General features: G+C 36.7%; 1 protein-coding gene and 1 long non-coding RNA gene across 2 annotated transcripts in view, besides 3 other annotated features; one reads left to right on the top strand and one right to left on the bottom strand.

Annotated features, from left to right (window-relative positions):
- LOC105371664 (uncharacterized) overlaps positions 1-26242 on the top strand; it is a 115921-nt gene that overhangs the window by 48264 nt on the left and 41415 nt on the right. Inside the window, exon 4 of the long non-coding RNA XR_002958418.2 lies at positions 13554-13623. This is a non-coding gene — a long non-coding RNA (uncharacterized LOC105371664). The remainder of the gene's footprint in view (positions 1-13553; positions 13624-26242) is intronic.
- On the bottom strand, positions 746-4997 carry RGS1 (regulator of G protein signaling 1). Its single transcript, NM_002922.4, has 5 exons — positions 4841-4997; positions 4405-4485; positions 3935-3996; positions 2385-2548; positions 746-1633 (listed from the first exon to the last, which is right to left on the bottom strand). Exons 1-5 carry the CDS (start codon positions 4975-4977, stop codon positions 1448-1450), a joined length of 630 nt encoding a protein of 209 aa, NP_002913.3. The 5' UTR covers positions 4978-4997; the 3' UTR covers positions 746-1447.
- Positions 1187-1436: an enhancer, noted in NCBI's record as "active region_2263". NCBI's record gives its function as "activates an Ori minimal core promoter by ATAC-STARR-seq in GM12878 lymphoblastoid cells {active_cell/tissue: GM12878}" and the evidence as "EXISTENCE:reporter gene assay evidence [ECO:0000049][PMID:35858748]".
- Positions 5073-5152: an enhancer, noted in NCBI's record as "active region_2262". NCBI's record gives its function as "activates an Ori minimal core promoter by ATAC-STARR-seq in GM12878 lymphoblastoid cells {active_cell/tissue: GM12878}" and the evidence as "EXISTENCE:reporter gene assay evidence [ECO:0000049][PMID:35858748]".
- Positions 20905-20954: an enhancer, noted in NCBI's record as "active region_2261". NCBI's record gives its function as "activates an Ori minimal core promoter by ATAC-STARR-seq in GM12878 lymphoblastoid cells {active_cell/tissue: GM12878}" and the evidence as "EXISTENCE:reporter gene assay evidence [ECO:0000049][PMID:35858748]".

Raw genomic sequence — 26242 nt, 5'->3', positions numbered from 1 at the left:
GCTGTACAGGCTATTCAGGAATATGCATCATCTTGATGATTTTTCTTCTCTCTGTAGGTGAGCCCTACTTTGGAGTCTTTTTTCCTGCTTAGGTGACACTTAGGACTGTTGCAGACTTTAGTGATTCAGGAAATGCCTTCTGATCAGTGGGTGGCAGTGTTACATAGAGGAAGGAGAATAGGTTGTAGTAGGAAGACTTCTGGGCAATCCCTGCTAGTATGACTGTCCCTTAATTCCCAGGTTCTGAACTCTGAATTATAAAATCATCTTCAGACTCACTTGGGGCTTTCTTTTAAATATAGATTCCCATATGCTACCCTTTGGAGATTTGGTTCAGTCATTCTGGTATGGGACCCCAAAACAGGGATATGTGTGTGTTTTTTTAACATTCTAGATAATTTTGAGAGTTACCTAAAATTAAGAACTAGTGACTTAATCTTTCTGAGTCTCAGCTTTCATAGGATTGCTATGAATGTTAAATGAGAAAATATGTCTAGATTTTATGAACTTTAACTCACAATAAAATATATGCTGTTAATTAGATTACCTCTTGAAATAAATTTTCTATCCCTTTTTAAAAGACTTCAATTTCTTATTGAACATGAGATCATATTATATTTGTTTGATTTTGTGCCTTGTGATAGCAGAGAGAAAAATTGTGAATTCTGTCCAAACTAATACATAAAATATAGTATTCACTAGATAATAGTTTTAGATGTTAAAAGAGATGGTAGAAAGAAGAATCTTAAATGAATTATTTATTTATTTTTAAAATCTGAGGAATAAATGCAAGTTTTTAAAAGTAGCAAGGACATGTAAACAGAAATTGCTTCTATATATTTTAATACAAAATCCACATTTATTATTAGCACCAATGATTTAACTTACAAATATATTCTGACTCCCTGGTTTTAAGAGCAATAGCTTAAGTTAAATACACAGTTCATCTCTTCCAAAGTCAAAAACAATAAAATAAAATAACACCGACAAGCAATAGTAGCAATGGCAATTTGAAAACATATACTTTAAGTTAATGGGACTTCAATAGCTCAGTACAAACTATATAATAATATGTAGCATAGATGTCAGTTGACTTTGATTCTTACAGTCTGTTGTAATCAGTTTCATAGACTTTAGTCACAGTTTCTGTGTAACTAGAGTTACCTGGCCTTCCCAGTTCTGAGGGGCTTTCTAATACAGAGCTCCACTGTTTTTTATGACAGTACCACAGTATCTTCCTCCTTCTGCGGTCTCTCTGTTTTTGTCTTGCTTATGCTTCTTCAACTCTGCGCCTGGATAACTTTCATGTTAATCCATTCTGAGTCATTTGTTCTTCTTGGCCTGTCAAGACACCCAAAAAAGGCCAAGCTGTTCACCCAGGGAGCCATACTGGCACATTCCTTCTGCGCTTGATACTATCTGTTAATTCCCTTCAGCCAGGGACCAGTCACTTTAGGCTATTAGCCTGCAGGTCATTTAGAAGATTTAAGTAAATATCTGATTTGAGGAACCTGGGATAAGAGTCCTTTTCCATAAGAGTATATATGACTTTTTGTGCTTCATCAAAACACGTGGGGGTTGGTGCTTTAATCTTCTTGGCTGTAGATTCTCGAGTGCGGAAGTCAATATTGATCTAAAAAAGAAAACCTTGTTAGCTAATATATACTTTTCTTTACTGCAAATTTTATGATGTTACTGTTTTTTGAAACACCTCAGAAAGTAATTTTAAGGCCTCATTTAAATCAATTCAAATATCTCTTAAATGCCTTTGTAAAATCAGCTCTATACTAGGTGTGAAGGAGATAAGAAATATTACAAAAATGTCTTTGTTCCAAATTTCCTCATAGTATAGTTAGGAGAGGCAAAAGAAGCAGACATGAAAAATTTAAGTATCCACATAAGATGATCCATGTATCATAAAGAGTGATGTAGGCATTTAAGATTTACAGGAGAAGAAGGCTCTTTTTGTTGATATTTTCTGCTTGGACCAAGAATATTTATCTGGTAATACTGTTAATTGGAAATACTTTTGCTGCTGCAATTGTATACATTATGCTAATCTGCATTTTCTTATCCAAAACAAGAGCACTCATTAAGGACTCCCTGACATGCAGTTCTGGTCAGTAACAATACCCTTAACCCTTCCCTCACCCTCATCATGGCAGCTGGTTTTGTAAAATCAGTCTCTTTATTCTACTGTGCTGAAACCCTCACCAATATAGAAAATTAGATTCTCATTGCACTGAACTATATTTATATGCCTAAGTATGTAGAAGTAAAATTATATACCCCAAAAGGATTTTATCTTGTTGTATATATTAAATGTTATTTCTGCATATAGGGTCTTTTATGGAGAAACTGATGATGATAAGCTTAATACTCACTTGTTTAGCAGCATCTGAATGCACAAATGCTTTATATATCTCTTCTGCTTTACAGGGCAAAAGATCAGACTCTGTTTTCTTATAGTCTTCACAAGCCAGCCAGAACTCAATATTCTCCTCACTGAATTCAGACTTTAGGAAACTTCCAAAGACATTTTGACCAGCTAAAAAGAAACGAGGGGTGGGTGGGGAGATAATTAAATTAAATGAACCAACAAATGAATAATTTGAAGAAGAAATTTGTAAGAAAAATACAATTGCTTCCTATTCATACAAAGGTAAGAGACAGCTACTGCTGAAATAGCTGTGTTATAGATTGTAGAGATGAGAAGTCATTTGAAATTTCTTCATTCATAGAAGAGGAATCTGGGGCCAGACAAACTCATTCATAGTCACATTGCTACTTGATGGTGGCTACCAAACTGTTTTGCTTCTATCCGCGGTTTGAATTGAAATTCTGCTCCACTGAATATAAAACCATCTTTTATATATGCCAAATCTTAGCCAGAGTAGAGAGTATTTTAGGAAAGCAAACACTGACAAAAGGCATTAACATCACAATAATTAGTAAATATAATTTCCCCATCTAATTTATATTAGCCAGAAAATGTTAGGCCTATATATGATCTGTAGGCCTGATGTACTAATTATGTTTGCTAGCATTCACTGAGACTTTTATATGGCACCATTTATGGTCCATATCTATACCATTTATTTGTTTAGCTGAATTATAAACAAAGTCAGCTGAGCTAGAGTGAACAATGTGATTCCCAAGTAAAGCTCCTTAGGGTGTCTGTGGGGAGAAAAGAATAATCTCACTCTTTAGAGATAGAGACCACACTGCTCATCTACACCTCTGAAAAAGGTCCTAATCTCAGTAGAATTGTAATGCCCAAGACAAGGGGATGGCAAGCTGATTTCATTCTTTACCTTCTCTCATCAGAAAATCTCCACAAGACTATATGTGCTTAAAAATCCTTCTATCATATTTATGTCATAAAAACTATCATGTTATAATAATGCAATTATTTATGTTATGTATCTCAACCACCTTCAAGGCAGTAAGAGACTGTCTTTGATTTTGAATCCTTGGTACCTCTACAATGTCCTCTACATAAGGGTGAGATGAATGATGAATGTATGAAAGATAATTTAATTAATTGAATGAATGAATCATACTTGTTACATCCAAGTGTAGAAAAATACATTCTTTAGGCAGATTTCAAAATGGCAATGTACATATTAAAATATTTGGCTTACTTTTAAAATTTTTACATATCAGAATCCCAGCACAATGTTTAATTTTATCTCCATAATGATCTATGAAAATACCTAATTGTCTTGGCAAATTTGTCTAAAAGGAGTTGGCAGAATTGAGTGCTAAGTCAGCATTATTAAGAGGCATACTATGCTGAAGTTATCAGTAACTACAGACAAACTAGAATACAACCTTTTGCATACTATCCTACCCAGAATACTATATTTAGTGAAGCCATTCAATTTTTTAGAGTATTTAGCTGAACCCAGAAACATTCAATAGTTATACTTACTTTGGTTGGCAAGAAGTTTTTCCAGAGATTGAGACCATTGCATTACTTCAGCAGCAGAAAGTCTGCAGGGGACAAAATGTACATACATTAGTCAATTTTTAAAATGTAAGCACAAATGAAATAAGAATGGCTGTTACACTTTGATAACTTCACAAACTGAAACTGTAGTTCTAATAAATATGTTAAAATTTATTCACAAAATGCAAAACTTCCCTTAGAGTTACTATAGTTATGAAAAAAAAAACCTGCCAATAAAATTTGAAAAAATCCAAATAGATAAAGTCCAATATGTGTGTGTACACATTTGTATTCAATTTACATTGGTACTGATAGTCTAATTTTATTTGGCATGTTACTTAAAAGAAATGAAGTCTACTGTGCGCAGTATTTATCCCTTGCTGGGATATAGAGATAATGCATAGGCTTCTCTTGTAAATGATAATGATAGTTTAGTGTATTAGTGTACTTACACATCCTTGGACTTGGAAGATTTCATTCCAGATTCCAGATGTGGGATCATAGATCTCAGGTATGCTTTCATATCCATTCCACTACAAAAGACATAAAAGTGAATATTCATATTTCTTCAGAATTCATTTTATTTGTAAAAAGACATAGAATAAATTTCTCTAAGGAATAAGGCAATACTAAAAATGGTTGATACAACATTTTGCTATAGAACCCATTTTTATGAGCCTGTGTAGAGAAAAACTCCTACCCAATTTAATGCCATATCAAGATTTATTTTTTAATGCAGCTGAATATTACTTATTACTCACAACAGGCAATTAACTCCTCTGATCTGGCTAAACTAAATGCTCACACTCTCTTCCATTCATTCTCAATCCTTCTGCCATTAAAGATAACTTGTTAAAATTCACAAAGTGAGACTCTGAACAAACTTACAAAGTCTTTGGCCTCCTTTTTTGCATTTTGTCGTCTAGAAGTGAATGAGTGGTTCCTTTCAATTCCTTTGGGTTAGCAGAGAAGAACATTCCTGGCATTTTGTCTAACTTTGGAGTGGAGATGGCTGCTGCGCGCATGGTGCTCTTAGCAAATATGCGCTAGTCAACGTCTCTGCTGCTTTATATAGTAGAATGCAGACAGGCACTTGCTGTTTAAAGGAGTCTGTTTATCAAGTGATGTTACCACAGACACTGGAAGTTCCCCTTTTCTTGGTGTGCTGTGACGTGTATCTTGAAAAAAAAAAAGCATACAGTGGTGTCTTGTGGTTGAAACTTAACCAAACGAGAACAGGTCACTTGATTAGAAAGAAAGAAAATTAAACATACAGAGGTACACACACATATGTCACATGTCTAAAGCATTAACAGCATCAGTCTTTGGTTCTGGAGGATGTTTGTTTATTTTAAAAAAGTTGCATGTTTCAATAAACTGTTTCATTTGGCGTATTAATTTATCATATAGAAACTCACATAGAAATTCATCACATAGAGTTGTATCTTACTCCATGCTTTGGATAGTCCTTGACTATAAAATTCATCTGATCAAAATATTTTAAGAGTTCTCTTCTTTTCTGCAGGAAGCAGGGCAAAGTAAACAAATAATTTTTGTTTAATTATTTTGCACATATCTGATAGGAGGGAAAGTTATAAGAGGCTATCTTCACATTTTCCCACTCCAATTCTCATCCCTTATTTCCATGGCAGGAAATTTCCATGTTAATATTTTCCAAGGTGTGTGCTAGACATCGACTGGCAATACATAGGATGATTTTAAGGGGTGCATGGTTTTTAATATTATTTTCATATTTATTAAGAATATAACTAGTATATCAAACTTTGATTTTTGCATATTTTGCATATTAGGAAAAAATAAAGTTTAATTAAAACCAATCATAAATAAATAAATGTTTAATTGTATACAAATATGACATAATTTGTAAACATACTGATACCAAGGTCACAGTATCAGAGGAAAAACTGCTCAAGGTAAAATAAAAGTCTATTTGGATAGACCAATAATGTGTACTTCTTAGGTAATGATCTTTCACATTTTGGCAGTATCTCTGGAGAGATAACAGTTTTAGCTTTAATTGAGATTAAAGTTTAAAACACAAACAAAACTCAAGGAACTAGATGACTAATCATTTATAAGGATAGAGAAGTTAGTAAAATATAAGCTTTCAAAAGTTTATATAACAAGTGTGGCTTATTTATAGAGTACCCAGTTTAACTTAAGCCTCCTTGGATTTTACCCCTGGAAGGACAATACTTTCCTTTAAAAGGACAAAAAAGCATTTACTTAGTGAAGCTTCTGATGGTATTAGGTAAAGCTGATAAAAGGGAGGGGAGTATTAATTTTTCTGTTCTGGTTCTATCGTCAGGATAAAGAATATTTGAAGAAAACACATTTACAATATTATAAAATTCACTTATACACAGTCATTAATTTCATTATAATGAGCTCATTATATTGTATGTAACAAGCATCATTTTATGTTGGGAAGATAACATAAGGCATTAAGAAAGATAACTGGTGAGATGAGCTGGCCACTTTGGAAGTGACCCTAATGAGACCGATGAAACTCAAAGACAGATGACATAAAGGCATTTGGTTGTATACTTCCTGTGGTTCAGTCCATACTTAATTTCCTGTTAAAATCTTCAACATTGCTCATGTTTGTTGATCTAGTATCCTCTCACTCCTCTAAATAATTGTGAGTAAGTTATGTTAGAGTAAAATGATTTAAAAATTATTTTTAACAGCCCACTAGTATTATCATCCAAATATACTGACAGTTTCCAAAGAACAAGAGCAGCAGCAAAAATTATGGGGCCAAGTAAGTTTGGGAAATGTTGGACTCCTAACTTGTTAAAGAACTAAACCCTCTTTAGATAGGGAAAATAGTTTTTTGAAATAATGTGTTTTTTTGACACTATGTTAAGAAACTCTGGTCTGAGATCAAAATAAGTTTTTGCCTGTAGTGTATTTAGGAACTGCTCTGATGCTCCCAACATTTTGCTACCCCTATCCCAATATACATTTTGAAGCGCAAGCATTTACAACTGCATGCTTCCACACTTGAATAGAAATATAAACTCTTGAAAGAGGGAGTCCTTTCAAAATTCCTGTATCACAATTGGCTGATGAGGTCACCTTAGTCATGCAATAAAGCAGCTGCTCTCTCAGAGGCTGTTTGCTCATCCACCCAAAGTCTGTGTGTTCCAGAACAAGGCAAATTTGGTCAAGTTGTATCAGCAAGTGTGACAAGTGCATGGCAGGGCATTGAAAGTTCCCTATTAATTTTAAAGAGAGTGCCACTATCTGGCCCCTCTTTGTAAACTTCACTAAGAAAAGATAAACTGTCAAATTGTAACTTTATTGAATCAATGACTTTGGTTGAAATAGTAGAGGATTTCAAAAACGTCAGTAGAAGAAACAGTGGGTCTCACGATCTGGGTTTCAGTTTTCCCTCTTTGAAACTGTGCTAAAACATCTAGGTTTGAGTTTCTAGGAAAAGGAATACTTCATGTAGTCTTAGTGTTATCTTTTTTTTTAAAGAAAAATTAATGGACTTCATTTTTAGGGAAGTTTTAGGTTTACAGTAAAATTGAGTGGAAAGTACAGAGTTCCCACAACTCCCCACCTTTCACCTTGCCTCCAGCTCCACCTCCAGCACCATACCTCGTTAGTGTGAAATATTTGTTATAATTGATGAACCTACAGTGACACAGCATTATCATCTAAAATCTATAGTTTACATTAGAGTTCACTCTTGGTGCTGTACATTCCATGAGTTTGACAAATGTATCATGATATGTATCCATCATTATAGTACCATACAGAATACTTTTCCTTCCCTAAAAATCCCAGTGTTATATTTTAAAATACCTAGGAGATTGGTTCAGTAAGACATTTCAGATTATGGCTGTTGATATTGATAGGAAAAATAAGGAAAATTTTAATCTTTGCTGAACTGATTTGAATGGAAACATTTGGTTTCAATTACTCCAATTACTGGAATACTAATAGGGAGTGCTTTCCTTAAACCTGATGTTGTTTGAACTTTTAAAATGTTGCTAAAATCTTATTGTGGATATTAGAATTGTGAGACAAGGGGTAATGATGAGTATAATATTCTATTTTAAAATAAAAATGTATCCATACTGGAAAAGTCAGTGACGTGGAAAGATAGCTTGATCCATTGAAACAAAATGTTTCGATTCAACAAAGTTTAATTGCATCCCTACAGTGTATCACACATAAAGCACTGCAGATACAAAGATGAATGAATCTCTGTCTTAAGGGGTTCACTGTGTAGTGGGGCTGACAGATGTTTGTGAGAGGTGCCATCAGAGAGGAATGTACAGAGAAAAGAACACAGAGGAGTAATTACCTCTGGAAGTATGAGAAAGGAAGCAAAGTACTGCTGTCTTTACTGTAAAATCAACATGTATCTATTCTTTGCTTGTTTCTGCATTTGTGTTTAGCATCCCTTGGAAAGTTCAAATGGCTGCAATGGAGAAACTGGTCTCTAGTAAGAGACCAGTTTTATGTTGAAGGATCATGGAAAAATGGATCCCATATGTACTCACAAAGCTTTGCAAACTTTCAAAAGTACTCTGAATGACTTAGTTGAATTAGCATAACCACTCAGAGCTTCCTTGGTCTTCAAGGTTTATAGATAAGGCTACTAAAAGTGTTTCAGCTAAATTTCATAGAGTTTATTTGAAAATTTGAAAAAGCTGCAACAAAAGTGAGTTTAGAAGGATTTTTCTCTGTATGTGTATAGAGGGTTGGTGAAAACTTTATATCGTGTGAATGAAAAGTTTAAACATTTTAGACTTGCTTATGATTTTGTTGTGAAGAAATATGATGGGTTTTAATAAGAGCAAATATATGCAACACACTAAACTTCAATGATCTCAGTAAGTGCAACTGAGCAAGATAAGAATCTAGTTTCTTTTTCTCACTCTGCTCCAATCTTTCAGTCAACACTGACTGCCTCCTTTCTATAATTTGAGAATTTACAAGAAAATAGTATGTGGGACCTTCAGTGAACTGAGCTTATGTGATTCAATAAGCCTCATTCACCCTAAATCTAATTTTACCAGTTAAGTTCTTGATAATAGGCCCGTGTTCCAAGACATTCTTGAAAGCACTGAGGAAATCTTTTGATAATATTATCTCTGGTATACTTATTCCATATTGGATTTATTTTCATTTAATGTCACACTATCACTTATAATCCTTTCAACAAGAGAGAGTAGTTATGTCTGACTCTAGACTGTGCTTTGCAAATAAAATTTCGTAAGTATGGAAGGAGGTGCCTTATTCCCAAACCCAAATAAATGGAGAGCTATGCTAAATGAACACTGACACATTATTTGGAGTTGGGATAGAATGTTCTGTTACATAACAATGACATAAATGCAAAAATGATGGAGGTGCTCAAATATCTGCATGTAGAGGATTTGGAAAGGAAGGTGATATAGTTTGGATTTGTGTTCTCTCTAAATTTCATGTTGAATTGTAATTCCCAATGTTTGAGATGGGGCCTGGTGGGAGGTGATTGGATCATGGGGGAGAATCCCTCATAGCTTGGTGCTGTCTTCACAATGGTGAGTAAGTTCTCTCAAGACCTGATTGTTTAAGAGAGTGTGGCCCCTGTCCCCTACAACTATTTCTCTTGCTCCTGCCATGTGAGACACCTGTTCCCCCTTCATCTTCTGCCATGATTGGAAGCTTCCTGAGACCTCCCCAGAAGCAGATGCCAGCTCTATGCTTCTTGTGCAAGCTACAGAACCGTGAGCCAATGAAACCACTTTTCTTTAAATAAATTACTTAGTCTTAGGTACTTCTTTATAGCAATACAAGAATGGCCTAGTACAGAAAATTGGTACTGAGGAGGGGGGAACTGTTATAAAGTTACTTGAAATGTGGAAGCAGCTTTGGAACTGGGTAACAAGCAGAGGTTGGAAGAGTTTGGAGGGCTCAGAAGAAGACGAGAAGATGATGGAAAATTTAGAATTTATTAGAGACTGGTTAAATGGTCATGATCAAAATGCTGATAGTGATATGGACAATGAAGTCCAGGCTGAGGAGGTCTCAGATGGCAATGAGGATCTTACCGGAAACTGGAGCAAAGGTCATGCATGTTATGCCTTAGCAAAGAGCCTGGCTGTACTATGCCCCTGCCCTAGGGACCTGTGGTAGTTTGAATTTCAGAGTGATGATTTAGAGTATCTGGCAGAAGAAATTTCTAAGCAGCAAAGTGTTCAAGATGGGGCCTGGCTGCTTCTGACAACCTACACTTATATGTAAAAGCAAAGAAATGACTTCAAGTTGGAAGTTCTATTTAAAAGGGAAGCAGAGAAAAAAAGTTTGGAAAATTTCCAGCCTAGCCATGTGATAGGGAATGAAAAAGCTTTTGTGGGAGAGGAATTCAAGCAAGCTGTGGAGCAACCATTTACTAGAGATACTTGGAAAAGGGAGCCAAGTGCTAATATCCCAGACAATGGGGGAAAGGCCTCAAAGGCATTTCGAGGCCTTCAGGGCAATCCCTCCCATCACAGGCCTAGAGGCCTAGGAGGATGGTTTTGTGGGCTTGGCCAAGGGCTCCACTGCTAGGTGCAGCCTCAGGACACTGCTGTCTGCATCCTGGCAGCTCTGGCTCCAGACTCAGCTCAAAGGGTCTTAGATACAGCTAGGGCTGCTGCCTCAGAAGATACAAGCTATAAAACTTGGCAGCTTCCATGTGTGGTTAACCTTGTAGGCACAGAGAGTGCAAGAGTGAATGAGGCTTGGCAGCCTCCACCTAGATTTCAGAGGGTGTGCAAGAAAGCCTGGGTAGCCAGGCAGAAGCCTGCTTCAGGGGCAGAGTCCTCACAGAGAACCTCTACTAGGGCAATGTGGAGAGAAAATGTGGCTTTGGAGCCCCCACACAGAGTCCCCACTGGGGCACTGACGGGTGGAGCTGTGAGGAGGGACCCACCATCCTCCAGATCCCAGAATGGTAGAGCCACTGGCAGCTTGAACCCTGTGCCTGGAAAAACCACAGGCTCTCAGTTCCAACCTGTGAGAGCAGCTACTTGGGCTGCACCCTAAACATCCACAGGGCATTGGGAGTCTACCCCTTGCTCCATTGTGCCTTCCATGTGGGACATGGAGTCAAAGGATATAATTTTGGAGCTTTAAGATTTAAAGACTGCCCTGCTGGGTTCTGGACTTTCATGGAGCATGTAGCCCCCTTTTTCGGCTGATTTTTCCCTTTTGGAGTGAGAATGTTTACCTAATGCTTGTACCCCCATTGTGTCTTAGAAGTAAGTAACTTGTTTTTTATTTTATAGGCTCATAAGGGGAAGGGACTTGCCTTGTCTCGGATGAGACTTTGGACTTTGAATTTCTGAGTTAATGCTGAAATGTCTTAAGACTTTGGGGGACTGTTGGGAAGGGACACTTGTATTTTGCAGTGTGAGAAGAAACTGAGGCTTGAGGGCAAGGGGCAGAATTGATATAGTTTGGATATGTGTCCCCTCTAAATCTCTTGTTGTATTGTAATCTCCAGTGTTGGAGGTGGGACCTGGTAGGAGGTGATTGGCTCATGGGGGAGGATCTTCATGATGGTGAGTGAGTTCTCTCAAGATCTGGTTGTTTAAAAGAGTGTGGCACCTCCCTCCCCACAACCCTCTCTCTCTTGCTCCTGCTGGCACCATGTGAGACACTTGCTCCCCTGTCACCTCCTGCCATGATTGGAAGCTTCCTGAGACCTATCCAGAAGCAGATGCCAGTGCTATGCTTCCTGTATAGCCTGCAGAACCATGAGCCAATTAAATTTCTTTTTTAAAAAAATAAATTACTTAGTACCAGGTATTTCTTTATAGCAATGCAAGAATGGCCTAATACAGAGGTATGTTTTAAATATTAGAGAGCAACTTCAATAAATGACTGTTAACTTTCCAAGTTTCTAATAACACTATTCCAGTGATTTCATTTGCTTTTGTTCTTACTAAACATCGAGGTGGCTAACAATAGAGACTTATTTGCTTTGCTTTTCCTCATTAATTATATAATTTTCTTAGAAAAATCTCTCAAGATTTCCTGACATGTTCTGTTCTTTCCAAAACCATGCCAGTTATTGCTGACAAACACATTAACTCCACTTTCTTCATGTCCTTTCTAATGCTTTGCTTTTATGTCTATTTACATATATCTATATATATAAAGTGTATACATTTATATAATATGTGTATATAATATATATACCTATATATTTTATTATTATTATTTTACTAAATATTGGTGTCAGACTTACCGGACATTTGTTTGTAGTAATAATCTTCCTACTTGAGAAAGTAGCTCTAAGTCAACAGATAGTGTCCATGCTTAGCAGTATACTACTATTATTGTGAGTACAAGTGGTCTGTGGTGTTCCACTGTTTTCTGTGTCTGTTCTGTTTTTTTTTTTTTTATTAAGCCTTGTCTGCCATCTTATTTGTATTCTATTTTAAAAAATAAATGAAAGGCTTTGATTCTGTTGAATCCCAGTGACATGTTCATCTTGCTGCTTTGAAATCTCACATTTCAAAAGACTGTGAGCCAATTCTCACAGCTATACCTTTTCCTGCTGTGTGAGTTTGATCAAATCAGCTAACTTCTTTTCAGTTTTCTTTGTGTAGAAGTCAAAGGCGATCATCAGCAACTTGCAGCTATGGTAGTGGCATGGGAAGATCTCCTTTTGAAATTCTATACCAATCAAAACTAGCCCCAGAGAAATTAAGATTTAGACAGAATTTGCCATAGCTAGGATGTTTTCCATTTTTCTTATGATGTTAGAGTTCTTTGCCTAGACTTCTTCCTAAAATTTAGTAAATTTGGCAATCCACCTGTTCCAAATGCAGGGCTACTCTTACCACTGCAACTCTGCATTCACTGGGCCAGTCTTCCAGATTGCTTCTTTCCCTATCAATATTTACTTGTCTTGGATTTCCTTTTTTATTTAGTTAGTTGATTTCTGTAAATTAATATGTTAATCAAATGTATAAATGTATGTTCAGATGTTAATGTCACAGACTATTCCTTCCAACTTCAATTTAATTTTCCTGCTTTTTCTTAGGTACTTATAGCTGGATATTGATCCCTCCCAACTGCAGATCTTATCCAGCTCCCTCCTGTTGTGGAGGAATATTGAGTTGTCTGTTGTTTTAGATAGGATTTCCATAGCTGCAAGTGTCAGCAGCCCCACATTGACTGTTAATTAGCTTAGGTAAATAGGAAGATAACTGGAATACCCTTGGGTACCTTAAGTAATAAAAGGAAATGTTGAACAACTAACCCCTCAAAGATCAGCTAAGACTGAACTAGGGGGTAGGGGACTTAGAATGCTTGTAAATTGTGAATTTGCTATAGACCAGAGTCAGCTACAAATTGGGGAAACATGACTGTCAGCAACTTGTGAAGCTTATATTTTGCACTTCTAAAGGCAGCAGAATCCTGAAGTGTAAACAATCTCTTCTTACCCATGTTTTTTCCTCCTGTGTGTTTTGTCTTGCCTATTTTTTTTATTGTGTTATGAAAACAGAAAACCAGGGCAATATATTTGGTAGGAACTCAAAGACAGAACAAACTCATAATCTTGTTTTATGTTTTGTTTCAGATGCTATGGAAGATCAGAAAATATAAATTTATGAACTGCTATAAACTGTTATTTTCTTCGTGAAGATCAGGTAACTTTTGTCTTCTCTTTGTAGTCACTGCAACGTTTTAAGTTCTATTTCATCTGAAGTTGATGTTTTATTTGTGACTTTGTGGCTTATCCCCATATTGGTTCTCTTAAGACCAGGCTCTTAGTTGCAACAGGAAGATCTTAACATACCAAAAACAGTGTATAGAAATATTAAGAGGCCTATTTTGTGTGGGAGTTTGTTCCATTTTTCTAGCCTGGGGTTTCTTTTCTCACATTTTGCTTAGGCAAGGTTGAGGCATCTCTGTTGCCCCATGTGAAAGAGTGAGCAATACAGACAAAGTGTGGCAATTAGTAATGCTTGCACTAAATGAGGGCAGGAGGTTGATATGTGCACGAAAGTGGGGAAGTGAGGCCAGAATGGGATAAGGATTGGAAATGTCATGGTGGGGCTGAGAACGTCCGGACAATCTCTGAAACTGATCTGTCCCTCTCCTGACTTCATTGTTCACTGTAGAACAACTGTTGATTGATTCTCAACAAGACTGAAACCACTGCAGAATACAGCACTTGTATCAGGAATTATGTGACCCTCTTCAATCCTGGAAATCACATTCTTTAACCTTGTAGATGGTCACATTTCATAATTTATCTTTCCTATTTTTAGATGAATCATTATACACCATTCATGGAAAATTAAAAGCTGCTGAGAAGACCTAAAAATTATCAGTCCATTAGGATTTTCCCCCTTTATACAGAATTTCCCCGATTTGGGGCAGTTTCCAAGACAGTAGAATAATACCATAGAAAATGTCACAATTTCACTTCTCTTTTATGAGAAAATTTGTGTGTTTTACACAAAAGATCACTTCGGAAGTAATCATGAAATAGATTTGAAACATTGAGGCTTTCTCTCTCTTTGTCTCTCTCTCTGCCTCTTTCTCTCTCTCTTCTTTCTGGCAGAAACCATACCCAACTTTCAAATCAAATATCAGTTGGTCTAGAGAAGGAAGGCCTGGGAAGCTGTGGATAGCTCTAAAACCATTTGATTGCACAACTGCTATGAGATGAGGGTATGACAAAGGTGTTTGTAATCTCATAGAAAGTTGAATAAAAGTACCTATGATTACATCAAATTAAAGTCTATTTTAGCCATGCCTAATCCAATATAACACTTGATATTAACCAATGGTTAACCAATAATTAACCAATGATTAAAACTATGCCCAGCACTATGTAGTAAGAAGGACATTATCCAGGCTTTTTTCTTTCTCAGAAACACTGTTCAGTCTCCTCTTTCTACTTCTTTAATATGCCTTTTCTGCCAAAACCCTTGTATTTTTGTACCTGAACTATTTTTCTTCTTTCCCCTTCCTTCCTTCCCTCCCCCCACCCTTCCTTCCTTCCTTCCTCCCTCTCCACCTCCTCTTTCTTCCTTCCTTCTGCCGCTCTCCCTCCCTCTCTTTCTTTCCTTTCCTAGACAATTTCACTGTGAAACCTTTACCTTTGTTAACAGTTTACCTTTGTGAAATTAGAAGAAAAAAATAGATCACCTCAATGAGTAGTTAAACTCTTGGGGCTTTTGAGGACTGTCTCCCATGGTCAAGTACAATCTATAGTCTTTCAGTCATGATCTACAAACAAAGCAAAATTTTTCTGAACAAATGTTTCACATTATTTTAACAGATCAGAATGAGGAATGACTTTGTTGAGACGTATTTAAGGGAAATTGAAACTAAGGTTAGTTTTTATATGCTAGGAGTTAGAGTTCAGTAGGAAAAAAACTAAGGTGTTTTCAAAACATTTTTAAAGTATATTTTTGAGCAGGGGTCATTTTTGGATATAAATTCAATACCCCAACAGGAGAGGCCTCTCCAAACCGGTTCCAGATGCTAATATCATTGTCTCTTTATTAAGTTAATAGACTATGAAAAAAAATACCTATTTTTAAACATGTGTTTTTGGAAGACCTCTCAATTTTACCCAAAGTAAAAAATCAAAATTCCTATAATGGTCTGTGGGGCCTGACATTATTTAATTCCTGACTCCTCTGGCCTAAACATCATTTACTCTTCTCTCCCCTCATTCACCTCCAGCCTCACTGGCCCCCTGGCTGCTTCTCAACCTGTCAGGCTCATTCTTGCCTTTGGGCTCTTGCACTGGCTATTCCTTTTGCCTGGAATATCCCCAGATATCTACTTGGCCAGTTCCTTCACTTCCTTCACGTTTTTGGTCAGATGCTGTCTTGTCAATGAGGCCTTCTGCAACCACTGTAATTAGAATTGCAATTGGCCCTCTCCTTATCCTGTTACCATCTATCTTCATCTGCTTTCCCCCTCATTCTACTTAATAACTTCTAACCCACTATTTAATTCAATATATTATGTTTATGTTAGTTTTCTGCCTCTTCCCCATTACAATGAAGAATCTATGAGGACAAGGATCTTTCTCTGTTTTGCTCAAATGTCTGAAATAGTACCTGGCCCATAGAAGGTACTAAAAAATCTTGTTGAATAAAGGGGTTAAGGGCTGGGGCTTACATTAATTTGTTCAATGGTTTAACAAACATTTAGTAAATGCTTATTTTCTGCTAGTCACTCTGCTAGATAAAAGAATCCAGAGGTGAGTCTTATTTTGGAGAGAGAAAAATGAATGGAAAAAAACCAAAACAACAACAACAAAAGACATGTATTATGTACAATTCTGGGCATTCTGGGAGGACATAAGGTGGTGCGTAACCCAGTATAGGCAGGGTCATAAAGGATTCATTAATTTTATTTACTCAACAAATAATACTTCCTGTGTGCTAATTATGCTTCCAGGCACTTTAAAAGAGGGCAGGTCCAACCAGCTTGTGTTCTTTGCCCTTTGCCCTTTCCCCTACATCCCTCTGTCTGAGCAGCCATCTCACCTACCATGTGGTTTCAAAAGGGCAAATGCCAGAGGCCAAGGGTAGCCGAACAGAAATATAGAAAGATTTGAGTTCCTGATGAAATCATGAAGCCATAGTTCCAGCTTGATTGGCCGATCTCCAGATTTCTTGTACGTGAGAAAAGAAAGGATCAAACTTTTACCACTATGACTTGACTTACCATCTTTGAGATGTATTGTTTGGCACCCAGCAATAAAAGGGAAGGAAATCAGCATACCTTAAATTATCTCCACTCTTCTCTGTCCAGTTTTAGTTAGTTGGAGCATCATTTCTATATGATTAGAATATGAAGGGTTGAGGCAATGAAAAGCCTGCCCAGGTTTTTTTCTAATTGCTTCCTCCAGCAACTGTGCATGTAGGCTTCTTTCCACAAAGTCAGCAAGGGGCAGCCGAGTGGAGTGACGGAGATTTCATTCAGCTTTTTAAGGCAAGGCCTCTACCCTCCTGTGCAGCAAAAGCACAAAGCAGTTATCCTACATAGAAAGCTCTCTGTGTGTTCGGAACTATTTTGTTTTATTTTATTTTTAGAGACAGGATCTGGCCCTGTCACTCAGGCTGGAGTGCACTGGCATGAACACAGCTGACTATAGCCTTCGACTGGGTTCAAGTGATCCTCCTGCCTCAGCCTTCTGAGTAGCTAGGATTACAGGCACATGCCACCATTCCTTGTTATTTTTTTTTTTAGACTTATATTGATATGGTTTTGATTGTTGCCCAGGCTGGTCTTGAACTCCTGGCCACAAGTGATCCTCCTGCTTCCTTCATCTCCCAAAGTTCTGGGAATACAGGCATGAGCAACCACACCAAGGTAGGACTAGTCTAGATTCTAATACAACATCAACCCATGTGCCCCACGAAGGCTCTGCTGATATCTATTTTCCCTTGTAGAGTTTTATCGGCAGAGTCTGAAACCCCACTTTCTGCCTGTGCCTGCATGTGGCTAATGTTTCCAGAAAAGAAAATGTCAGTGATCTAAGCCCACCAATGAAGGGATCTTCCCTTTTTGAATTTTAATTCATCTAATTTTCTTTGCTTCTCTAGCTGTCTGATGTCCTCAACAATATGACATTTTCGTAATTAGTTTGTTTTAATTTTCCAAGTCCTACCACTTCCTCTTACATCCTTCTCAGAAATAGTATTCTGAACTCATAGATTTAGTGAAAGTTTGGATATATTCTGGGATTCTAAACTGAAGTGATTTTCTCTTGAGCCCCTGGAAGAAGGATATGCAGGCAGCGCTCTGTTGTAGCTCTGACAGGCAATAGTGCCTTTACTATTGTACTGTTATTTTGAAAAAGCACTGCTTACTGTTTTCATATTACTTGCAGTGTTTTTTAAAAAATGTGGAAACAATACAGTCATGCTGAAATAGAACAAATGTAAAAAAGAAGGCAAGCAAAGTCAGCCTGAGTGTCATGTTGAGCTTACCTTTCCATCCACATGCTAAGGACCCAAGTCACATGTGTCTGGCTATTACAATTCACTTTTTTCTTATACACCCCTACCAGATCCAGAGAAAATGGATCATATTGAGCAGTCTGACTAGGAAGACGATAAAACTTCATTTTTAGAGCAATCTTATGAGGTATGCACAATTACTCATATCTTAGATAAGGAAATGGAGGCTCAAAGGGATAAAGAAACTTACTTAAGATCGCATAGCAAATATATGGTGGTTAATAGAGAACAGAGAATTTTCCTCACCCATGATCAGGCTCTGCCTGCTTTTGTTTCTCTGAACCGCAGTATAACCCTGTCTTGAGAAACTGTCTTTCTTCCCTTTGCTAGTGGTCTAATCCATTGTGTCTGCTCCTAGCTCTGACTTCATCCCCCCAACTCTCTGGAGGCCTGGTTGTGCCTTCCCTCCTGCAAGGCCTTATTGGAGGAAAAAGTCACCATTTCCCTTAGTTCCACTTTCATTTGTACCCTTTTCCCCTTTAAAGGAAAACAAAACAAGCAAGTAGAAAAAAATCACCATTAACATTTCAAGAATAAAATAAACCCAAATCTCCTATCTAAAGCACCTCAAGTCATTCAAAACAGAAAGATGGATATCTCTAATAGGAACTATATTGATTAGAGTGCTATGATATCCTGGGCTTGTAACGTAATCAAAAATGAGCCTTGATTCACTCTATAAAATTGGGAAAATATTACCTGACTTTTTTTTCCCTCAGTGATAAAATTAGGAGAAATGGTATCTATGTGGAATTCAACTTTTAAGAGGAACATTTTATGAAAATAGCCTAAGTTGCTAGAATGTGCTATTTATGCATATGCTTATTAAATATATATTTATAAAATGATTATATATATTATTTATGTTTCAGCTTCTTTTAAAAAATAAAACCAAAACTTTCCAGAATTAGATACACTAGTCCTTGTACATTAGTTCCATTTTTCCTCCAACTGTGCAAAAACTTTTCATATTGCTTCATATTGAAGAAGATAAAGAGAAATGCTGCAGTGTGGGTTGACCAGAAGCCAATTCAGGGAAAGAGATTTGTGTGCAGGAAGTTTACTGGGCATGCATTTTGGGTTCAATACCTGTGGAGGATGAAGGTCAGTGAAATAGGGCAGAGAGAGAGATTGGGCTGAGCTGCAGTCACAACGAGGGCCTCAGTCAATCCTGCAGTCATCATCGAACCTAGGCCTGCCCTCAGACTTTATCCAGCTTGAATCAAGGCGACTGTGCCTTTAAATCATTCGCTGACTAGTTATGGGATGCAAGCTGCCCCAACAAAGTTGCTGGGACCTTAGGGGAAGTAGGTCCCTTCAGCTGTGCTTAGCTAAGAGGTGTTGGTTGGCAACACTTTCAGCAACTGGGGAATGAATGCTATAGTCCTGAAGTGGGGGAATCTGGGTGGCACAGCAGAGCAATCACTATGATTAAGACAATCAACAGTGCAGATTGCATTCTTCATTATGTTTATATTTATATCTATTAGATGACTCATGAAATTGCCTTTTTAATTTTTATTTATTTTTATTTATTTATTTTTTTTGAGGTAGAGTCTCGCTCTGTCACCCAGGCTGGAGTGCAATGCCACGATCTCGGCTCACTGCAACCTCCGCCTCCTGGCTTCAAGCGATTCTCCTGTTTCAGCCTCCTGAGTAGCTGGGATTACAGGCGCGCTATTACGCCTGGCTAATATTCTTTTGTTTTTTTAGTAGAGATGGGGTTTCACCATGTTGATCAGGCTGGTCTCAAACTCCTGACATTGTCATCCGCCTGCCTTGGGCTCCCAAAGTGCTGGGATTACAGGCGTGAGCCACTGCGCCCGGCCGGAATTGCCAGTTTTATACTAAAAATTTGTTGAATATTGACAATTTATGTGGTACACAATCTAATTATGTAATTTATTTTCAGGAGTTTGTGTGAAAGCATACAACAATAGAAAAATAATTAGTGAGTAGAGAGTGTAGGAGCAGATAGAATGGTTGGTTTTACTAGTTTATACTGATGCTATTACAGAGCAGTCCATATTTCCAAAAACAAATTTTATCTTTTTAAAGAAGCTTTCAGTTTTCTTGATTTTCTATTTCCTATTTTATTGAGTTCTGGTCTGATTTTTATTCCATTTTTTCTGCTAAGTTTAGGTTTTATGTGCTTTTCTTTTTCTGCTTTCTTGAGGTGAAAGCTGAGATAATTGAATTAAGACATTTCTTGTTTTCTAACATAGATGTTTAGTGCTATGAATTCCCTTTAAGTACTACTTAAGCAGCATCCCATAAATTTTGATATGTTGTGTTTTCATTTTTACTTAGTTCAAAATACACCTTAACTTCCTTTTTGATTTCTTTGACCCATAGATTACTTAGTAATGTGTTAGTTAGTTTCCATATACTTGGAGATTTTTTCAAAGATCTTTTTGTTTCTGAGTTTCAATTTAATCCTATTAAGATACAGAGAACATACTCTGTATGGCTTGGATCTCAATACGTTTAAAACGTATTGATACACTTTATGGCCGAAAATATGTTCTATTTTCATAAATGATCTATGTGCACTTGGAAGGGGTGTGCAGGCCTATCTTCTCTAATTGCACTTCACTTTATTCCACTTCATAGATAGTGTAGATTTACAAACTGAAGGTTTGTGGCAACCCCGCGTTAAACAAGTCTATCTGCACCTTTTTCGAACTGCATGTGTTTACTTCATGTCTCTGTGTTCCGTTTTGGTGATGCTCAAAATATTTTAACATTTCATTATTATTATATCTGTTATGGTGATCTGTGACCAGTGATGTTTGATTTTACCATCATCATTGTTTTGGAATGCTACTAACCTCACCCATATCAGTGAACTTAATTGATAAATGTTGTTTGTGTTCTGGCTGCTGTACTGCTGGCCATTTCCCATCTCTCTCTCTCTCTTCAGGCCTTCCTATTTCCTGACACACAACAATGTTAAAATTAGTCCAGTTAATAACCCTAAAATGGCCGCTAAATGTTCAACTGAAAGGAAGAGTCACATGAGTCTCACCTTAAATTAAAAGTTAGAAATGACTGGGCTTAGTGAGGAAGGAATCATGAGATGCAGCAATTCAGTCATATTTTCAGGCTCCAATTCTATTTCTAGTTCTCCTGCTATTTGCACCACATCCGCAGTGACTCAACTTCTTCCAAACGCCTGTTATTACTGATCTTTTGACCTCCTCTCATGAATCACAAATGTTCTCAATGGCATCTGGAATAGTGAATCCTTTCCACAAGGTTTTCAATTTACTTTGCCCGGATCCACCAGAGGAATCACTGTCTAGCTGAGATCCAGAGGAGTCACTTTCAGCTGAGATAAGCTGAAAGCTAGGCCTCTTGCACCAGTGAGCTAAGTTGTAAATGCAAAGGAAAAGTTCTTGAAGGAAATTAAAAGTGCTACTCCAGTTAACACACAAATGATAAGAAGGCAAACCAGCCTCACTGCTGATGTGGAGAAAGTTTTAGTGGTCTGGAGAGAAGATCAAAGCAGCCACAACATTTCTTTAAACCAAACCCTAATCCAGAGCAAGGCCGTAACTCTTCAAATCTATGAAGCCGAGAGGTGCAGCTACAGAGGAAAAGTTGGAACCTAGCAGAGGTTGGTTCATGACATTTAAGGAAAGAAGCCATCTCTATAACATAAAAGTGCAAGGTGAAGCAGCAAGTGCTGGTGTAAAAGCTTCAGCAAGTTATCCAGAGCATCTACTGAAGATCATTTAAGAGAATGGCTACACTAAATAATAGATATTCAGTGTAGACAGAACAGCCTTATATTGGAAGAAGATGCCATCTAGGACTTTCCTACTTAGAGAGGGTAAGTCAATGCCTGGCTTCAAAGCTTCAAAGGACAGGCTGAGTCTTTTGTGAGGGACTAATGCAGATGGTGACTTTAAGTTAAAGCCAATGCTCATTTACCATTTTGAAAACCCTAGGGCTTTTAAGAATTATACTAAATGTACTCTGACTGTGCTCTAGAAATGGAAAAACAAAGCCTGGATGACAGTTCATCTGTTTACAGCATGGCTTACTGAATAATTTAAGCCAACCATTGAGACCTAGTGCTTAGAAAAAAGATTTTTATCAAAATATTACTGCTCCTTCACAACGTTCCTAGTCACCGAAGAGCTCTGTTGGAGATGTACAAGGAGATTAATGCTGTTTACATGCCTGCTAATACAACATTTATTCTATACCCCATGGACCAAGTAGTAATTCCAATTTTCAAGTCTTATTATTTAAGAAATATATTTCACAGGACTATAGCTGCCAGAGATACTGATTCCTCTGGTGGACCTGGACAAAGTAAATTGAAAACATTGTGGGAAGGATTCACCATTCTAGATGCCATTGAGAACATCTGTGATTCATAAGAGGAGGTTAAAATATCAGTAATAACAGGATTTTGGAAGAAGTTGAGTCACTGCAGAAGTGGTGGAAATTCCAAGAGAACTAGAATTAGAATTGGAGCCTGAAGATGTGACTGAATTGCTCCATCTCATGATAAAACTTGAATGAACAAGGAGTTGCTTCTTATGGATGAGCAAAGAAAGTGGCTTCTTGAGGTAGAATCTACTCCTAGTGAAGATGTTGTGAACGCCGCTGAAATAACAACAAAGGATTTAGAATATAACTTAAGCTTAGTTGATAAAGCAGGAGCAGGATTTGAGATGACTGACTTGTAAAAGAAGTTCTACAGTGATAAAATGCTATCACGTGCTACAAGGAAATCTTTCATGAAAGGAAGAGTCAATCAATGCAGCAAACTTCACTTTTGTCTTATTTTAAGAAATTGCTGCAGCCACCTCAACCTTTAGTAACCACCACCCTGGTCAGCCAGCAGCCATCAGCGTCAAGGCAGGACCCTCCACCAGCAAAAAGATGATGACTCACTGAGGGCTCAAATGATTGCTAGCATTTTTTAGCAATAAAGTCTTTAAATCAGAGTATGTACATTGCTTTTTAGACATAATGCCATCACACGGTTAATAGGCTCCAATATAGTATAAACTTAACTTTTGCAATGCACTGGAAAACAACAAATTTCGTGAGACTCTTTTTATTGTGATACAGTCTTTATTGTGATATTCTGGTACTGAACCTGCAATATCTCCGAGGCATGCATGTATAGTCTACTGTTGTTATATGGAATGTTCTATAAATGACAACTCCAGTTGGTTGATAATGTTAAGTCTTTTATATTTTACTAATTAACTATTTAATTAGTCATCCAATTACTTAGAGAAGATATTGAAATTTCCAACTATAATTGTAAATTTGTATCTTACAGTTTTATCAGTTTTTGCCTCCTTTATCTTGAAGCTCTCTTATTAGTGGCATACATATTTTAATTTTAGCCCCTTTGGATCAAATCATCTCTATCATTATGAAATGACCTTCTTCATCCCTGTAATATTCTCTGCTCTGAAATCTGCTTTGTCTGACGTTAATATAGCCAGAACTGTTTTCTTTAGGTTGGTATTAACATGATATTTTTCCTGTATCATCTTATTTTTACCCATTTTATGTATTTATTTTAAAAATGTGTTTCTTGAAGGCCTTATGTAGTTGGACCTAGCTTTTCAGTACAATCTGATGGGCTCTGCTTTTTATTTGGGGTGCTTAGATTATTTATATTTAATTCAGTTATTGATATGGTTGTAGTTAAATCTACCATTTTGCTATTTGTTTTCTATTTGTCTCATCTATTTTTTGTTCTCTTTTTCTGGCTTATTTTGGATTAATTCTGCCTTTTTTATGATTTCAACATCACTTCTTTTGTTGGCTGCTTAGCTGTAATTCTTTTTAAAAAAAAAATCAGTGTTGACTTTAGGGTTTATAGTTAACATCCTTAACATATGAGTGTCTGCCTTCAAGTGATATTATATCACTTTATGGTCTTATACTTTTAATCAAATTTACAAAATTTTTTACCAATTATTTCTTCAAATATTCTTCCTGTTGCCTCCCCCCTTCTCTCCTTTAGAGACTTCAATCACATATATATTTGGTTGCTTAAATTTACTCCACAGATCACTGCTAGTTGGTTTTTTCAAAAATTTTCTTTGTCTTTCCCTCCCTCCCTCCCTTCCTCTCTCCCTTCCTCTCTCTCTTTCTTTCTTTCTTTTTCTTTCTTTCTTTCTTTCTTTCTTTCTTTCTTTCTTTCTTTCTTTCTTTCTTTCTTTCTTTCTTTCTTTCTTTCTTTTTTTGAGTGATTTTTCCCTCTGTGTTCCATTTGGGTGGTTTCTTTTGCTGTGTCTTCAAGTTCTGTAACGTTTTCTTCCGCAGTGTCCAATATGACATTTATCTTATCCAGTGCATTTTTAATTTTAGACGTCGTAGTTTTCATCTTTAGAAGTTTGATTGTGTCTTTTTATATCTTCCATTACTTTACTTACCATGCTCAATCTTTTTTTCTAAATTCTTGAGCATATGAGATGTAGTTATAATAACTGTTTTAATATTCTTGTCTACTAATTATATTATCTGTATTATTTCTTCAGAAGTTTCAGTTGATTGATTATCCTCTTCATTATAGGTTGTATGTTCTAGGCTTCTTTGCATGCCTGACAATTTTTGATTGAATGGCAGAAATTGTGTATTTTATTTTTTCAAATACTAGGTACTTCACATTCCTATAAATATTCTTGTCCTTATTTCTGAGATAAGGTTCAGTTACTAGAAAATATTTTTATTTTTTCAAATCAAGTTTTGTGAAGTGGGATCAATGCAATATTTTGTCAAAGGTTAATTTTCCCAGTAGTGAGGCAAAGCCCTTCTTAGTACTCTCCCTAATACTTTTTAAATTTTAGGTTTTTCACTCTGGCTTTTGGGATTAATCCCATCCCTGTGTGATGTCTAAGCATTGTTCCTTCTGATTCTTTCTAGTCATTTTTTTCCTTGGCCCCTGGTAGTTTTGTCACAAACAAATGCTAATCAGTATTCAACTGAATACTGAAGTGGAACCCTCTACAAACTCTACAGTCATTTATCTCTGTAGCATGTTCTTTTCTTGAATTTTTTCCTGCAGATTCTATCTGCTTTAGTTTCCTTGAAGTCCCAGCTTTTGCCTCTTCAACTTACAGAGACTGCTGGACTCTCCCTGGGTTTCTTTACCCAACACAGTAGGCTAGACACTCTTCCCAGGCAGTAAATTGTGTAATCATAGGCTCACTTTGGTTGTTTCCTATCTCACAGGGATCACTATTCTTTATTATCTAAAATCTTGTGAGTCCTGGAAAGTAAGTCTTTGAAAAGAGAAATCTTCAGCTTGGTGACAGCCTACATTCAGTGACCATAATTTTTGTGTCATTTTTATGTTGATATAATTCTTTTCTAGCCATAAGTTTTTCCTGCTTTGATATTACATGTTGACAGCTCATTCATATCAAAATTTATTCTTCATTTATATGTTTATTTGACTATAAATTGACTTGCAGAGCACTAGTATGCTGATCTTATTGCATTTCTTCATGAATATAATATAATGATTATATAGATTATCAAATAACTTTGATTTGTAGTTTTAAAGTTACACTATTAGACTTTGTCTTTAGAGTGATGGCATTTGAGGCTGAAAAGAAGTAATTGAAATAAACGGATTGGCTCATAGCTGGTCAACCGTCTAGTCTAGCGTCAACCAGTGCGTCACTGTCAGAGCAAGAGACAGCTCTTGGGAGCATGACTTCCAACCACTTGTCCTAACCTCTAGACCACACTTTCCATTATTCAAAACCCTAAAAATGATTAAGGAAGTACTACTTGCTTTGTTAGCATACTTATGTCAAATGATAACTTTCAAGTTTGGTTGTGTCACAGACAGATCTAGAAATTCATTAATATTGTTAACATATACCAATTTCCCCTTCTTACATGGTTGGAAATAACACATTATGTATTGCAGTGGTTTGACCAATTAAAAAGAAAAGAATCTTACTGTAGTACAGGCATCTGAAAATAAAAATAACTTTCAAGAGACTGATTTAATATAGTGACCCTTCGAGGGGTAATCTAGGAGGAATAAACTAGGGGAAGTAAAGTGATCTAGAACAGGCTGATTATCAGGAGACTTCCTGCTATGCTCATGCAGGCACAACTCTCTGTGCCAGTTTTTCATTTGTCATACATGCCAGTGATTAAAATCACCCTTGGAAGCACTTATGGCCAATGTTTTCCTTCAGACTTGGTGTAGAAGCATTTTTTTTTTTTTTTGAGATGGAGTCTCACTTTGTTGCCCAGGCTGGAGTGCAGTGGC

The sequence above is a fragment of the Homo sapiens genome, chromosome 1, assembly GCF_000001405.40.
Source record: "Homo sapiens chromosome 1, GRCh38.p14 Primary Assembly".
Classification (NCBI taxonomy): Eukaryota; Metazoa; Chordata; class Mammalia; order Primates; family Hominidae; genus Homo; species Homo sapiens.
Note: the sequence above shows the minus strand (reverse complement) of the source record. Positions and strands in the feature narration are given on the sequence as shown.